Raw genomic sequence first — 16,683 nt, 5'->3', positions numbered from 1 at the left:
CTTAAGGTCACACTGCAGATAAAATATTAATGAATACATCATCTGAAAGCTTACCAAAAATGCCCCAAAGAAAGTACACTCTTTGTGGCCTGGAGTGGGGCAGACCCGCCAGCCTTTCTTACACTCCTGGGGAACAAGCTCCCAGGCTGCCTGCACAGGCCCTGCACCTGGCATACTGCTGTTCCCGCAGCCTTGGTCTGGCATCTGGGGGGATCCAGGGCTCTGGGATAGAGGGGTCCCTGGAGATGATCAACTCAGATGTCAACGGCTCTCTGGCTCCTCTTCAGTTAAAACCTGGACAAGTGCGGGGAGGAGGCTTCAGGGGGCCCAGGCGCCATCACAGCAGCAGCTCTGGCAGAAAGGTATGTTTCGTGTTCAGCCCTATTCTTTCTACCCACAGATCCCAGTCCCACAAAGACCAAGTCCAATGCCCATGCCAGGGCCCAGCTCTCAAATGTGAGTGGCACTGTGTCCCTGGCTTCTCTCCCGTGGCCACACCTTCACAGGGCCAGGTGTGAGCAACCCTCCCCAGCTGGCCTCTACCACACCCTCACTCAAAGGGTGTCCCTGGGCGCTCCCCCAGCACAAATCCCAACCAGTCGCTAAGGGAGGTTCAGGGACTCTGGGGCCCAAAGCATTCCTAGACTGCCAGGGACCCACAGGCCCGTGGCTCTCCTCTAGGGAAGCGACAGGACCTACAGATGCCCCCACGAGGGCAAAGCAGCACATCTCAGAGGGAAGCCTGCACAGTGGGGTGCAGGGACCACTCCACTACCGAGCCGTGACCTGTCAGAAACAGTCCACCGTCCCACTCGGGGGCCCTCCCGGCATCCTGTAAGGTACTTGGACTTGGACACCCTCCTTGTGGGGCAAGGCCTTTGTACCCACACACACAGACACCCACAGGTAGACCACACCTCACATCACCCAGAGGCCCAGGGAGCATCAGCGAGTCCATATGAGGGACCCTGGACCTGTCTCCCCATCACCAGGGCCCACAGCCGGGAACCTCCTTGGCCTAGGTCTTCTCACCTCCACCCAGGGCCATCCCCACTAAGACCTGCTGCTTTCTTCACTAGCCTCCAAAAATCGGATGCTGGGGGTGCTGTGGGGGTGCAGTGCCAGGTGTGGGGAGGACGTGGAGACAAGGCTGCAGCCACCTGAAGGAGCATGGACTCTGGGACCAAAACCAAGCCCCACACCAATCCGTACAGCAGCAGCTTCCTGGGTGAACAGCAGTAACTGGTCCACTCACAGGTTGCTGTGGTTGGAGATCACAGCAGGTACCCCACAGGGTGGGCGGTTTCTTTTTTATTGACTGTTCTGGTTCAAGGCCTAGCACACAGTAGGGCCTCAGTAAGGGACTAGTGAGCAAGAAATGAACACAATGGGAGAAAAGAGTCATCAAAACGCTAACCCGCTAACAACACTGCCCGTTCTGCTGCATGTTTTTACTATTAAAAAAGAACTCTTTAATCTCTCCTTAAGAAATGTCATTACCATTCAATTCAAACTCTGGAGGTGGCTAAGGACTCTTGTCTACTTTGGAGCAAGTACAAGGAAATTTATTCAGACTGGTCACCCACTATCGATTACAACAGTGCCGCCTGACACCTCTGCATGACCGCTTCCGGGAGGGAGCTGGACGTCTGCAGAGTGAGGAGGCCCAGGTTGACTTCTCAGAGAGAAGTCGCATTAATGGGACTTCCAAACCGCGGAGGAGCGCAGCCGTGACCGTGGCTCTGCATCACGTTTTCCCGCAGAGTCCGAGGGACAGTGAACACACAGCCGCGTGTGCAGCCAGGTGCCACGCAGCCACAGTTCACAATCCTCACCACGTAACTTTTCAGAAAGAACAAAGGTCTTATCTATCATAAATGTACGAGTCAGCGCCCAAAACATTATACAAATCACTTTTCTTGCTCCAAGCACAACTCTGCATTTTGTCCACAAAGAGGAGAGACCGCCCCATGTGAAGGGCCATGGAGGCTGACAGGGGTCCCGAGCGCCCACTTGGAGAGTCATTCTTTCCTGGAGGCGCCCAGACCAGACCTCAGGGCCTTCACACGCCTGCCCAAAGGTGCTGGAGCACGCCAGGCCTGCAGGGGGAAGAAACCATCTCCTGTAGAGTTCTCGAGCCCCAATAAAAAGCAACATGATTGATACATGAAGAAAGCAAGCTTAAAGTCGCTAAGGACTTTCCAGACATGTCTTTAAATACAGCATTAAATCCCCAGGACACTGACTTCACTGTCACTCCGAAGGAATAGATACACCCCTCTTCCAGCTCCTCCCTGCAAAGTAGCAGCAGTGAGCCACGTCCTGCTGAATAGTCTCATTTTGAAATCCCTCCCCAGCTGACAGTGATCTATGCCTACTTCCTGTGGGCGGGCAGGCATGGAAAGCTTACGACCTCAAATCTTAATGGGCTCATGAGAAAGTACAATGTACGGAGACCAGCTTCTTCAGCTTCATTAGGTTAACCCGATCATCAGTTTCACTGCACCTGACCCACAGAATCCATGCTGTGGCACCTGGGACATTCAGGAGAGCCCCAAGGGCTGTCGCCTGGCACACGAGGCAGAGCACCCAGCAGGTGCGGTACTTGGAGCACGCTGTCCACCCTCACCCAGGCTTGGCAAGGGCAAGTGGAGACCCGAGGCAGCCTTTCAAAGGAGCTGGGACAGCAGGTCCAAAGGACTCCTGGGGAAAGGCAGGGCTGAGGACACCCAGATGGTGGAGGAAGTGAGTGGCCAGCCAGTAATCGTTTACATCCAGCATAAATCTCTAGCAAAAGGGGCCAGAGGGAGGCTCTCAGGATAGCACGGCACCGGACAGAGGCACAGAGCAGAAGGGTGCAGGGAAGGGCAGGGCCTGAGACAGACACAGCAATCGGCCCCCTACTCTGCCCTGATGGAATGTGGGTGGGCCAAATGCCAGGCAGCACGGCCTCAGCGATGCCCTTCCACCCCAGTGCCCAGCTGCCTGGGCTGCTATGAGGACCCATGGTAAAAGGCGGAGCCCTGCCCTGCTCAGACAGGCTCCTCCCCAGCACCTGCCCCGCTCAGACAGGCTCCTCCCCAGCACCTGCCCCAGATAAAATGCAATGTCTGAGCAAGGCACACAGAGCCTCCCACATGGCCCCACCTGAGTCTGGCAGCCTCGGACCTGCCCTGGCATCCAAATACTCTGGTGCAGCCACACTCAACTGCACCTCACATAGAGCACACTGCGCCCCCCTGCCCTCAGAGCCTTGGAATGCTCTTCCTTGGTGCAACCCACCTCTCACTCATTTCCTGGACACCTGCTCTATGCCCTATGGGAGGACCCTCTTTGCACCCTTCCACCCTCCTGTTCAGCTGCAACTCAGCCCCCAGACCCTGCTCACATGTCTCCCCAGGAAGCCTCCTCCTCCCCTGGAAAGATGAACACACCCCATCTTCCCTACGTCCTCAGCACACCTGGGCACCTGTATCGCACTCTTGCTGACTGCTGGCCACCAGCTGGGCTGCGAAATTGCAGGTGGCAGGGGCTGCTGCCTTAGATAGGGCCCTCACTCGCTCAGTCCCCACAACAGCTTTTCCTGACCATGCTATGTCTCTCACCTGGAGCACTGCAGGTGTGCTGAGCCTCTCCAGCAAGCCCGGGGACAGCCGCATCCTGGCCCTGACCTCGTGCCCGTCGCCCCGGCCCACCTGCTGCTCCCCACACCCTTCGCCTGCTCTGTCCTGGCCCAGGCACTCCAAGCCAGAATCCTCCTACTAGAACCTGGGGCCCCATCATGCAGCACAGATCTCAATTCAGGACCCCCTGCCATGGACACCCTGCCTGAGGGCCGGCTCTTGTGGCCTCCCACCACATGGCCTCATCACCTGAAAGGTGCCTGAGAGATGCTGCTGGTTTGCTGTCAGGATCCCTCTCTGAGAAAAGAGCCCTCGACAGCAGGCCCACCTTTCCCGTTGCTATGCCTGAGGGCTGAGAACAGGGCCCAACCCGGAGCAGGCGCTGATAACTGCACGTGGGCTGAGTGATTCGGGGCCCAAGGTGCCCAGGATCAAGCTCTGTCCTGAGAGATATCAGGGACATCTGCAAAGTGCAGGCCCCACCTCCAGCGACCTTCTGACGCACCCTCCCCAGGGATGGCGAGGCTTGCACTGGCCATGCTGAAGAAAATAAAATGAAGACATTTCACCTAAGATACTGAACAAGGATCAGGTGCCATGATGATGCACCAGCGGCAGCAGAACAGGCTGCTTCTTGATCAAAGCTACCTCTGGGAGATGTGCCTCAAGGCCCGCAGGGGTCTGTGTGGCCCCTCTCAGCAGTGGACAGATGGGGGTCCCATCAGGCAGTTGGCATTCAACATGCTTGGAGGCTCTGGCCCTGACCTCTGCCCCATGCCCCTGGCTGGCACGACTGGTGTCCTGGAATGTGGGGCTGTATCTCAGAAATGGCACTGCCAGACTGCCAGACCCACAGGGTGCAGGAGGAACACAATCAGATAGCTCCTCCCGCATGGAAATCAGAAGGCTGTGATGCTGAGTCCCAATGTCCCCGCATCATCTTCATTCTCATTCATTCATATTCTCTCTCTCTCTCCTCTCTCTTCCTCTCTCTCTCTCTCTCTCATACAGGCTGGCAAGGTAGCAATTCCACAGACCGGGAGCCATGGCGCCCCCACTGCCACAGCGCACTGATGGGGGCTCTGGCCAGGACAGAGATGTGGACTGGCAGTGGCAGCCCTGGCTCCCGGTCTCTGCTCCAGCCATGCACAGCCTGGTAACTGAGAGACTGGAACCCCATTCGCACGGTGCCTCAACAGGGCCCTGGAGCCCAAAGTGCCTCATGGGGGGGGCAGAAATAGAAGCCACTGTGACACAGTATGAAAGGGAAGTGGCCCTGGGCAAGGTGCTTATGCTCCTAGACTCCCAGTTCCATCTTCTATAAAAACTCTCAGAGAACAATGACTGCCTGGCAACAAAGCCCAGAATGTGAACAGCACACAGTGGACAAAACACCGGTGATAAGGGCTGGGGAGACAATCTTGCCTGATGCCTGCTCTGTGCTTGGTGCAGGGCCAGGCACTTGCTATAGGTTAGGGCGGGCAAGCAAACCACAGCTCGCTGGTGCCTCGGTAGGCAAGTCTCACAGGGACACGGCCACGCCCGCTGTCCACGTCTGTGGCTGCTTCTGTGCTTCAACAGCAGAGAAGTTGTGAAAAAGTCCATATGGCCCACAAGCCTGAAAATATTTACTATCTAGCCCTTTACAGAAAACGTCTGCCAATCCTCACTCGAAAAACCTTCCTCAGTCCTAGCAGCAGCCTCTCGAGGCAAGGATCGGAAACTCGGCTCGCCCAGGGATGCACAGCTAAGCACAGAACTAGGGCAGAAACGCCCTCCATCCGAGCCCAGGACGCCGCAGAGAACATGGACCCACCAGGGCTTCCGTGAAATACTCAAATAAACCTTTTCCTTAAAGGACCCAGATCTGTTTGGTGACCAGTAGGCAATCTAGAGCCTCCATGTATAGAAGTGTCCTGGCCACAGATTCTCACACTCCAGTCCCTCCGCAGCACCTGCCCTTGGGTGTGAAGTGGGAGGACGCGCCCTCAGCAGGAGTCCACCCTGAGTGCGGTGTGAGGCGGCTCTGACCCTCGGGAGAGGAAGCAAATGGTAGAGGAATGACCAGATCCGAAGCCCAGGGAGACAAGCACCATCTTTCATCCCCTGCAATTTACAGCCAGCCCTGCGTGAGGAGCGCGGGCAGTGATGATTAAAGATACACTTTGGGATATGGGTGGTAGAAGTGCAATGATTAACATTCAAGTGGCCTCTTGGATATCACTAGAAAGGAATTTAATAAAGGCCTTAAGCCAAATGAAGTCATCTTGCAATACTCACCTGCCAAAAATAAATGTTCCCTTTCCTTAGAAAAAAAGCATCAAGTCACTAGGGGATAGGAAACGTAAAGTGTGGAGATGTTCGCCCGTTTACCAGCGAGTCCCCCGCCACCTGCACAGGATGTGTGTGAGGAGCCATTCTAAAGCAGCGTAAGTAACCGTTTCAGGTGTACCCGCAGCCCTGAAGGCAGCCGAGGATCTCAAACGAGAGGTGGCCTTCACCAAACTGGAAATGGAACCTCCCAGGCCCAGGAGGCCGGCTTGGCTGCTGCTCACTCACCATACTCAGAGCCCTGAATGTTCCCCAAGAGGAAGAAGTCACCGGGATTTAGAGAAAAGAACCTGGCTTTGAATGTCCTGTCAGAACCTGTTGTTCTTTTTCATTCCACGGCCTACCCCAGCTGCTCCTCTGCTGCTGAGTCACGTCCCGCACGGGGTAACCTCCCACAGGGCCCCCCATCAAGTCAGCCGCCGCCCTGCATCCTCACCTCCCCAGCAGCCTCATGCACCCAGGGATCGCCCACTGTGGGATCACCCTCCCCAGGTTCCACCCACCCCCCATCCGAGCTTCCCTCTCCCCATCAGAGCCACACTTCTCAGACTTACCGATGCCCTCTGACCCCACTTGCTCGACGACCCCCTCATCCTGGCTGAATTCACCCCCATGCACCTGCTCTCAGCCATTGATGACCACTGCTGACGCAGGGTTTGGATCTGTGTCCCCACCAAATCTCATGTCTAATTGTAATCCCCAATGTTGGAGGTGGTGATGAGATCAGGAGGTCAGACTCTCCCGAGTGGTTTACCACCACCCTTCTCCACGCCGTTCTCATGCTAGTGAGTGAGCTCTCCTGAGATCGGGTTGTTTAAAAGTCTGGGCACCGGCCAGGCGTGGTGGCTCACACCTGTAATCCCAGCACTTTGGGAGGCCGAGGCAGGTGGATCACAAGGTCAGGAGATCGAGACCATCCTGGCTAACACGGTGAAACCTCATCTCTACTAAAAATACAAAAAAATTAGCCGGGCGTGGTGGCGGGCACCTGTAGTCCCAGCTACTCAAGAGGCTGAGGCAGGAGAATGGCATGAACCTGGGAGGCGGAGCTTGCAGTGGGCCGAGATCGCACCACTGCACTCCAGCCTGGACAACAGAGTGAGACTCTGTCTCAAAAAAAAAAAAAAAAAAAAAAAAAAAGGCTGTGGCACCTCCCCGACGCCTTGCTCCTGCTCCAGCCATGGAAGACACGCCTGCTTCCTCTTCACCTTCTGCCATGATTGCAAGTTTCCTGAGGCCTCCTCAGAAGCCGAGCAGATGCCAGCACTATACCTTCCGTACAGCCTCTTTGGAACCATGTGCCAATTAAACCTCTTTTCTTTACAAATGACCCAGGCCCAGGTATTTCTTTTTTTTTTTTTTTTTTTTTTTCCTGAAATGCACGCATCCATGAGGGAGCACGCGACCCCTGGGGGAGCAGGGCCATTCTCTTCCATCTGGGCTATCTCTGCATCATTGGCTCCTCTTCCAAGCCTTTTGTCACCCTCATGACAATGCCCCTCATTCATTTTTATATACTATCTAGTTCAGGGCCTGGGAAGGTGTAGGTGCTTATAAACAACCTTTTATTGACACGTGTCCCAAGAGGACTTTAAGCTACCTTGTAAGGGGTTAAAGAGTAACTAAAACCTGTAATGGCTCAGCTAATAAACCCCCCAGTTTAGGGGAGAGTAATCACCCGATTGCTTTCCTATGATTACTATGTATTTTCATTGCCAAAAGATGCAATACAATTTCATGGTTACTTGGCCCTGTAAAATAGAAATACCCCCGATTCTTAAGATATGAAGAGGTTTATAACCAGGGTACTATCAGTTCAAGAATGAGTCCCTGGTACAAATGAGTCAATTCATGACAAAATTTAATTTCAAGAAAATTAACTCAATAAAGATGCCACAATTGTGCTTAAAGTTTTAATACCTATTAGGAGTTTTAAGTAGGTGGTGCAGAACCATGGGCAAGCCGATCCATTTTCTGGCTCCTCAAAAATGCGATTGACTTAATACCTAATTTATTCGTAATGGGGACAGTATTACAAGGAACTGTGTTTAATGAGGGAGGTCTGGGTCTCAAACAGCCTAACCAATCACAAAAACGGACAGCATTCGCAATTTACAGGATATTAAGTTTTGTTTCCTGTCATGTTACAGAGAGCCGATCAATAGCACTAGACTGACAGCTACTTTAACAAAACAGCCCAAGGTAAGGCTTTATGTCCCAGCAAATGCTGCTGGCCAGAAATTCTGTAGCTGCCAAACACTTGGAAGAACAAAACCCAAGTCGCGGACACGAATGACAGTCTGCTGACTGGTGATAATTTCCGTAGTGAGATCATTAGACCAGACAAGCGGCGCAAAGGAAAAGCAAAGTCAGAATACAGGACTTCAGAGCCACAAAACACTCACACCCACCAAGGGGCACACTGACCAGCAACCGGTGTCAGGAACAAAGCTTTGGGGCACTGTTCTAGATGACTCACACAAAAACAGGCTCAGAATGAGAGACTGGAGAGCACGGAGGCCCAGCAGGCACCCTGTCCTGTGGGAAGAACGCACGCAGCCTGAGGCCCTGTGGGAGCAGCTGGTCAGAATGACCCCCAGGCCCTCCCTAGCTGCTCTGTGATGCCCAGCCTTCCCCACCTCCATGGGCAAGGCACCAATGTTGGGACCCAACGCAGTGCCTGGGACCTATGCCGCCTTAGAAAAAGCCTCCCGCCAAGAGCTCCCCTTTCCAGAAACGTCCGTCCCCCAGCATCAACCTCCAAGGGCAGCTGCCCCCCTGCAAATCCTGAACGTGCAGCCGATGAAGGGCTGTGCTCACTGTGGTAGAAAGCCTGGCTCTTGAGGTGCCGGGATGAAAACCAGCCATACGCTTCTTTCTTTAGCACTCTGTAGAGATTTGATTCCTAATCCCACATAATGGTGCCTGCTATTTGTAACTGATGATGAAAGGCTGGCGCGTAAACCCCCCACAGCACCGCCTCCGCTTCAGCAAACATCTCGAACAAAATGAAAAGGTGCTAGAATAAGTGATGGGACACTCAAGGGAAGAGAGGTGGCTTGTTCCAGAAAACTCAACCTCCTGAAGAATTGAATTTCATCAGAATTGGTGAAGAGTAGAAAATTTCATACACACTGAATCTGTGATTTTTTAAAAAATCTTTATTATATGTAACTCAAAATATAGACAAGGTGTGAGTCCTGAGCGTGAGTTTTTTGGCAGAAGCAGCTCAAACTCACAGCAGAGTCACCAGCATCCCTCGCATCCTCCTAGCACACTGCTCAGGATGTGAATTCCCAGAGAGCTCAAGGCTGCTGTCACCACGCAGGCAGAATGAAACTCAGCCACAAAGAGAACGGCCTGAAGTTCTTTTCCCTGTTTTACATCTTCTCAGATAAAAAGCATGCCAGGAGTATACTCTTTTATTTTTATTTATTTATTTTTTGAGATGGAGTCTCGCTCTGCCACCCAGGCTGGAGTGCAGTGGCGCAAGCTTGGCTCCCTGCAACCTCCGCCTCCCGGGTTCAAGCAATTCTCATGCCTCAGCCTCTGAGTAGCTAAGAATACAGGTGTGGGCCACCACACTTGGCTAATTTTTTCTGTTTTTAGTAGAGACGGGGTTTTGCCATGTTGCCCATGATTGGTCTCGAACTCCTGAGCTCAGGCAATCCACCCACCTTGGCCTCCCAAAGTGCTAGGATTACAGGCATGAGCCACCGCGCCCGGCCAGGAGTATACTTTTTAAAGACCGCATTTCAATGGAGAGAGCGCTTGGAAGAAAAAATCGAATGCAGCACACAGGCCCAGGGCAGAAGGCGACAGGAAACGGCCCGGGCTCCTGGCACCCCCATGGCGGAGGGTGCGAAGGAGAGCTCACCTGGTAGGTGTCCCACAGGCGGATGGTACAACGCAGGGGCACCTCCCTCATCAGCAGGTTGTTCATCCAGCGGAAGGCAAACTGCAGGTATCTCACTTCGTGTTGGTCCAGGTGCCGGTGCACTTGCTCTGCACAAAACAAACACAGGCCCCAAGGCTGTCAGGGGAGCCCTATGGAGGCACTGGCAGCCAGGTCACTTGTCCCCCAAGGGCCTGCGCCCGCCTCAGAACCCCACTCCAACAGGGAATCCCAAGCAACAACCCCCAAGGAGCAAAGAACTGATTCTATTAATGAGAGACTACAGCTCTCCCTTCCTACAGGAAAGCGAAAGATGGTGGTGCTGCTGAAGTGATGATTATAATCATGGACATGTTCGGGTGCTTCACGCCCTAACACCCAGGAAGATGGGGGGGCTTGAGTCGACACCCACACCGTGGGGCTCCACAGATAGGCGCTCTTTCCCCGCTCCACAGAAGCTCCACAGACCCAGGCTGGTGTCCCAGGAGGGGCTTAGAGAGAGGAGATGAGCTTGCCAGCTCCTCAGGAGGGGCCCAATCTTGTCCAGGGAAATGCTCCACCTATGCCTGGACCCAACCGTTGAGTGCGCAAGTGGGACACAAGGCCTGCAGGCCAGGTGAAGGACACCCCTCGACTGCAGGATGGGGACACCCCTGACACAGCTGGGCCTCTGGAAAGAGCCAGGCTTTACCAAGCATCACTCCCAGAAGCACACGCTCACACCAGCCACATGCGCTCCCCTCTCATCAAGCTGTGGTGGGCGGCAGCTTTGCAGCCTCAGCTCAGACCCCGTGCTCCCTGCCTCACCCCCTGCTGAGTCCTGGCGGTGTCACTCCTGGAGGCAAAATCCCAGTGATCATGGTGCCTATGCTCCTCTTTCCAACATTCTGCCCATGAGGTCCTACTCTAAAGGGCCTAGAAGAATGGGTGCTGCTTTATAAAAACAAATAATCATTACTAATTATTGCCCAATTGAGCCGGATAGTGGATCCTTGGTTTTTAAAACGCAGGTGCACCTGAGGGCTGCTGAGAGCCTTCTTTCTGCAGCTCACTTCCTTACCCTGCTTCCAAGTTACACCTCCCTTCTCTCCACGCTTACCTAATCCTGGCTTGCCCTGAGAAGTGACCCCGAAACACTTCACAGGGATCGCCATTCCCTCAAAGAAAGTTCTAGAAATGGCAAATAAACAAATACCAGAGAAAAGCTAGTGTTCTGTTTACTGGTTTGTTTTACTCAAGTCCCTGGTAACTTGCAATATTTCAGCAACAAGCGAGAAGCAGGGGGAAGAGGAACAGGAGGGTCCATCCTGCAATGCCGTCCACCTGACGGACCAGGAGCTCTACTAAGACATGCGGGTGCCGGCCTGGACTTCAGGGCCGTGGGACCGGGAGCTGCCCTCACCTAAGGACAGGGGCTGGTTTCCAAGCAGGCTCCACTAAGCTGGCCCTGGAAAAGCATGGGCAGCTCTGGTCCCATGATGGGACCCTGCTGTGGCGGGAGCTGGTCCCTTCACTGTCTCTGCCCTCACTGTCACCCTCCTCCCCTAAACCACTGCTGTCCTCAGCTGACCAGGGCAAACGTGCTGGGGCGGGGCTCCTGTAGGGCTGGGTGTCAGGGGATGCCTGCAGGATGAGGCCTGCTTCACACTGTGGGGTAGATGCAGCAATACACGCTCCATTCCAACACGACAGTGAATAATTAATTGTGGAAACTGCAGAACTGGGTGGAGCAGAACAGCAAAGGCTGTTCTGAGCCCCAGGGGCCAGCCTGGGAGGAAGTCACCAGGGAGGCTGGACAGCCTTGCCCACGACCCACAGGACTGCCCTCCAGGAGGCTGCCTGGACCCAGAGGCACCCACACCCCCACCACTGTGCGCTGCCTCTGCGGTAACAAACTTGAGCACTAAGGGCTCCAGGCCTGCAGAGAGAGCAGGTACAAGCAGGCCAGGCAGGCCCCGGAGGCAGGCGGGGGTGGGGGTCCCTGGCAGCAGAGCAGCCTGCAGGGCAGCTCCTCCAGATGGCATCTGCTCACCTCAGATACTCAGTTGCTACAGCAGGGGGTTGGTTGGCTTTTTGCTTTATGAAGAGGTCTGGCGCAGACTACACACACGGCCACAGATGCCCACACTTCTTCATTAGCAAGCCCACCTGTCTCCCCTGCCCCCAGGAGAGCTTCAGAGGTGGAACATTTGGGTGGACGAGTGGCTGGGAACGCTGGTGCCTCAGGACTCAGGGAGCCTGACGCATCAGTGCCAGAGTCGGCTGCAAGCAAAGAGCGTCACACGCGAGCAGCAAGGACAGTTTATTCTGAGCGACTGAAAATGTTATTTGTGTATTAAAACCAAAACCAATGCATAATATGCCATAAAGTCAATTATCGTCATCAGTTGTTAGGATAAAACTGCGATTTCAATGCAATTTCATCTTTGCACTGGGCCTGTTCGAGCTCCGTCGTCCAAAGTCCCCGGCACATAGGCCAGGGATTGCCTCCCCTGCCTTGGAGCACTTCTGAAAGGTGTTGGGCTAGAAACGTTTGAGGAGCCAGGCCCAGAGACAGCCGGGGCACAGGGAACGCAGGGGCCCGCTTGCAGGGCAAGGAAGGCCTGATGCCAGGGTGCAGTGGGCTTGGCAGTGACCTCAGGGATTCCCAAACAGGGCTGGACATCATCGTGTCTTCATCTTCCTCCTCCCCCTCCTCTTCATCATCACCACGGGAGCACAGGAGCTGTTAAATACAGATTCTCATCTCGACTCTCAGTCAGACTCTTCCAGGTGGGATGTCAGAGACTCTAGAGAAGATGCTGACGTGCCAGTGACATCTCTGCACTGGGAACGCCTCAGAGGGCAGGTCACACAAGGACGCGGCACCACACAGGCTCACAGAGACAGGAAGGACAGGTCCCAGTGGCTCACGCAGGACACCCACTCCAAGAGCTCCACACTGAGGGAGGGGAGGGCTGCAGTGCAGGTCCAGAGGCAGCGCCAGCGTGTTGCTCACTTAACAGCTTCCTTCTAATCCACTGCCGCTTTATTAAAGACATTTATTTTTAAAATAAAACTAATTTCACTACCAAAAAATGGTTCCCATAGTCTCTAATAAGTAAAGGGCAGCGCGGCAAGTGGAGAGAACAAAACGGTGCTGCCGAGGGGCCCCTGAGGCTGAAGCCCCCGCAGAATTTAATCCCACGGCTGCTCATCCCTCGGGGGACAGAGAGACCAAAGGGGGTGCCAGGAGGTGTCTCAGGATCCCCACAGATGAAGAGACACTGGCCCCCAGAATGAAGTCAGAGTGCCTAAGAAAGGCACCAGACCCCCACTCCCTCCTCGGCCTTCACCGCTGCCTTCCCCTGCAATGCCATGCCTCCTGCGGTGGCACCAGGTGACCAACAACACCCATGCTACCACGCAGGCTTCCCCGCGCCCCGGGCTCACCCTCATGGCAGCCTTCCACCAGGGCACCTGTCTCTGCTCAGTGCGAGGCTACCCAGACGTCAAAACTCCTGGATGCTTCCAGAAACACCCCAAGCTGTGAGCCTCCCCCTCTTCTTCGTTCTATACACACCTCTATGGAAGCATTTATCACGAAAGGGGCATAAGTGCTCAGGGTGCCTGCCCACCCTGGGGTGTGAGCTGGTCAGGTGTGGGTCCAGGTCTGTGTCGCCTTTGTTTCCCCGGCCCCCAGTACACACAACTGAGCATCCATGAGTGTCTGTCAGGTGACTGTGATGAACGAATGAGTACAGAGAGCAAACAGGTAACCGGAAGATGGACACATTCCCAGCCTGGCCGTCCTCCTCTACTTCTATTTCTCAACACAGCAATAGCGAGGAGTTTTCCAGCCACACCCTAGAACATGACGTTCTTTTCAAAGAACTTACAGAATCATTTCTAACCTGAAGTTAATCTGCAGCTACAAAACTAAACTGATAGAAAGTTCTACGAAGCCCTGAGGGGGCTCCACCATCCAGGCCTGACCTCTGCCCATGCCCCTCGGAGGGTGGAAGTCCACCCAAGCTGCTACCAGACTCTGCTGCCCCCAGCGCACTGACACGTGGAATTCAAGTCTGAACACTTAAAACCAGCTGTTTAGAAAATGACTCCATTTACTCAACAAGGCTCTTTTGCACAGAAAAAAGAATGAGCTTCCATGAAGGAGCAGTTGGCTACTTGGGGAAGAGCAGCCAGGACGACAGCGACAGCCCCAGAGGAAAATCACTGCTTGAAACAAAGCGCCTGAGGAAGGAGGGGCCACACAGGGCAGCCTGGGACGGCAGTGTGAAAGGAACGTTCCAGGGCAGGTGCCTGGCCTGGCAGGTGGCACCTGGTTTCACTGGCCACTCCCAGCCCACAGCTCTGCGTGGACGTCTGGGCTGCAGCAAGTGGGTGCCGCCTTGCACTGGCGTGAATGAAGCTCTGCCGTGGAGATAAGCTGAAGTCAGCAGCCTGGGGCCTCCTGGGACACACGGCCACACTGCACATCCCTGTCTGGCCGCTGCTCTGAAGGTTCTCCAATGCTGCCAGGGCAGGGCCCCAGTGTACCAAGGCAGCAGTGGGACAGTCACAGGCTAATCACCAGGACACGAGTGCTGTGCCCACATTTTACACAGGAGGCTTCAGGCGAGCTTTAGACAGGGCTACAGAGCCTGGGTGTTCTTCCCTTTGGGTGTGTGTTCGCGGCCACTCCCTCTCTCCTCTCACTCCAGGCACAAATCCAGTGTATGATGAGGCCTCTCAACCAAGCACTCACAGGGCCAGGCCCTGGACCCAGTCTGGGGGACCTGGTGTGGGTGGGACTTGCCAGAGGGTCTTATCCTCTAGACTGTGACTTCCTCGAGGGCAGGGACTTTGTCCGGAAACAGAGACCAGCACCAAGGCAGGCCATGGCCCACCACACATGTGATGTGTGCGGGGCACACATTTGTTAACCAGGCAGCCTGGCACCCAGGGCAGCCGCTGCCATGGATGAGGATGAGGTGACTGCTGGGGAAGGTGCACACCACAGAGTCACACGCAGAAGAGGAGCCGTGGCTCACCGGCCAGTCTGTCACCTGCCTAGAGCAGCAGCAGCCCACCTGTGCCGGGGCTCGGCATGTCCCCACCTGGGAAAACAGACAACTCTACCACGGGCCTGGGAAGCAGGTGACATCTTTCCAACACAAACTGGCAAGAAACAGACTTGAAAATTTAAACACATATTTCTGGAACACCTGTCATTGTGGTAACTAAACAGAGTACAAATTAACCCTTCCTGCCCCACTTGCAGGGACTCAGGGGTGGAAAGCACAGAGGCCACCAAGCCCTCAGCCCCTCCCTGAGGGACGCTGACTTGAGGAGAAGGAGCCCGTTCCAGCCAGAGTGCAATGGCCGGCTAACCTGCACCGAACTCCCACTGCACAGCTCCTGAAGGGGGGCACACACCTCACACCCTGGGGACCCCGGCCCCTCACCTGTGAGGTGAGGCAGGTGAGGGGACCTGTCCAAAGGTGCACACAAGGAGGCAGGCGAGCCAAGATGGGCCTGAGGATTGCCACCACTCTGTCCCCTTGAAACGACCCCACACCACCAGAGCTGAGCATGGACCCACCCTTGCATCTCTGGGCACCTGCGCCCTGGGCAGAGCCACCCACCCTCCTCAGGGCAAAGCCCAGTACATCTGCAAGAGCACCCGGTCACAAGGAACTAACCAGAAAACCGGACACAGCGTTAACCTCACAGGCACAGGCAAGGCCGTTCCAGGGCAAGAGGCTCCTCTTTCATTGGTTCCTTAAGGAAAGATTGACCAGGGCCTCCACTTCCCAGGGTTGCCTCTGAAAGCAAAGCTACAAGGAAGACAAGGCCTGTTTCTGCCCGCCGGGGGCTCAGCAGCCTGTAGGAAACAGACAAGGCAATCCAGCCTTCGGGCTCCAAGCTGTGCACTGCACCCGAATTACAAGCTCTCTGTGTCCTGAGTGCCTGGCCTTCTGCCTGACACAGGACCTTGAACTCCTGAAAGGAGTGAAAAGGCAAAACCCACGCCCACCCAGAGGTGATGGCAGGCACAGCACGAGACCATGGTGGCCACAGCAAGGGACTCCATGGCAAGCGCTCCGCTGAGTCACCCAACACAGCCTGGCTAAGCTGGCTTGATTCTGGAGCCCATGGGACATCCATCCAGAAGGCACCGGGGAGTGTCCTTCTTCACACGGAAGTGGTCACTTAGCACGACTCCGTGGCTTCTCTGGCAGCACGTCATGAAGGGTGCGGGCGTGGCCAGCCAGGGCCTCACCCCGCCGGGACGTGCATCCCCAGCGGGAAAGCCTCCTCCCGTCTGGGCACGGTGAAGGATGGGCTGCTAAACTCCAGGCATTACTTCCCATTTATACACATCAAAGCTGCAAATGTACATGCCGAAAGGATTCATTTTTCTTATTTTATAAGTAATTGCGAGCAGATGCTCTTTCACTGATAAAGGTAATTTGGTTGGCAATAATTCTGAATTTGAAATTTCCATTTCACTGGAAATAAGAGTATACATACAATGAATGAGCAGGCAGGTGTAATTATTGTCATATTTCAGGCTGAAAAGGTTTTTTCATAAAGCCCTTATGTGGCAGGGCAAGGCAACGTTATTGTTGTAAAGTCACCAGGAAGAGATGTGTCATATTGGCAAGCTGGAGAAACAACCACAATATTTGTTGAACACTTTTCCCAGCACTTTAAACAGCAGATCCACAGACCGAAAATTCTGCTGAAACATCTTGTCTTCTTGATTAAAAATAAAAATAAATTATGCAAGCACATTGTGTCCCAGGATTTAGGCTAAAATGGAAAAAACACGTATCCCATTGACTTGGC

The 16,683-nt window shown here is 54.5% G+C and overlaps 1 protein-coding gene across 14 annotated transcripts in view, besides 5 other annotated features; it reads right to left on the bottom strand.

Annotated features, from left to right (window-relative positions):
- Positions 1 to 16,683, bottom strand: part of TBC1D22A (TBC1 domain family member 22A) — a 413,050-nt gene that overhangs the window by 128,670 nt on the left and 267,697 nt on the right. For 9 of the 14 annotated variants that reach the window (NR_104292.1, NM_001284304.2, XM_017028742.3 and 6 more), the window contains 1 exon segment: positions 9,832 to 9,959. The exons of 3 other annotated variants lie outside the window; for them this stretch is intronic. Coding sequence is in view for 8 of the 11 variants with exons in the window: in NM_001284304.2 (NP_001271233.1) it covers positions 9,832 to 9,959 (128 nt within the window). In the remaining 3 variants the exon portion in view is untranslated. 14 annotated transcript variants of the gene reach the window in all.
- Positions 241 to 756: an enhancer, noted in NCBI's record as "H3K27ac-H3K4me1 hESC enhancer chr22:47442170-47442685 (GRCh37/hg19 assembly coordinates)". NCBI's record gives its function as "activates a minimal SCP1, AML or CMV promoter by ChIP-STARR-seq in naive H9 embryonic stem cells {active_cell/tissue: H9 hESC(naive)}" and the evidence as "EXISTENCE:reporter gene assay evidence [ECO:0000049][PMID:30033119]".
- Positions 1,274 to 1,789: an enhancer, noted in NCBI's record as "H3K27ac-H3K4me1 hESC enhancer chr22:47441137-47441652 (GRCh37/hg19 assembly coordinates)". NCBI's record gives its function as "activates a minimal SCP1, AML or CMV promoter by ChIP-STARR-seq in primed H9 embryonic stem cells {active_cell/tissue: H9 hESC(primed)}" and the evidence as "EXISTENCE:reporter gene assay evidence [ECO:0000049][PMID:30033119]".
- Positions 14,402 to 14,993: an enhancer, noted in NCBI's record as "H3K4me1 hESC enhancer chr22:47427933-47428524 (GRCh37/hg19 assembly coordinates)". NCBI's record gives its function as "activates a minimal SCP1, AML or CMV promoter by ChIP-STARR-seq in naive H9 embryonic stem cells {active_cell/tissue: H9 hESC(naive)}" and the evidence as "EXISTENCE:reporter gene assay evidence [ECO:0000049][PMID:30033119]".
- Positions 15,490 to 16,017: an enhancer, noted in NCBI's record as "H3K4me1 hESC enhancer chr22:47426909-47427436 (GRCh37/hg19 assembly coordinates)". NCBI's record gives its function as "activates a minimal SCP1, AML or CMV promoter by ChIP-STARR-seq in naive H9 embryonic stem cells {active_cell/tissue: H9 hESC(naive)}" and the evidence as "EXISTENCE:reporter gene assay evidence [ECO:0000049][PMID:30033119]".
- Positions 16,018 to 16,546: an enhancer, noted in NCBI's record as "H3K4me1 hESC enhancer chr22:47426380-47426908 (GRCh37/hg19 assembly coordinates)". NCBI's record gives its function as "activates a minimal SCP1, AML or CMV promoter by ChIP-STARR-seq in naive H9 embryonic stem cells {active_cell/tissue: H9 hESC(naive)}" and the evidence as "EXISTENCE:reporter gene assay evidence [ECO:0000049][PMID:30033119]".

The sequence above is a fragment of the Homo sapiens genome, chromosome 22, assembly GCF_000001405.40.
Source record: "Homo sapiens chromosome 22, GRCh38.p14 Primary Assembly".
NCBI lineage: Eukaryota > Metazoa > Chordata > Mammalia > Primates > Hominidae > Homo > Homo sapiens.
The sequence above is the reverse complement of the archived record's forward strand: the minus strand, read 5'-3'. Positions and strand labels throughout refer to the sequence as shown.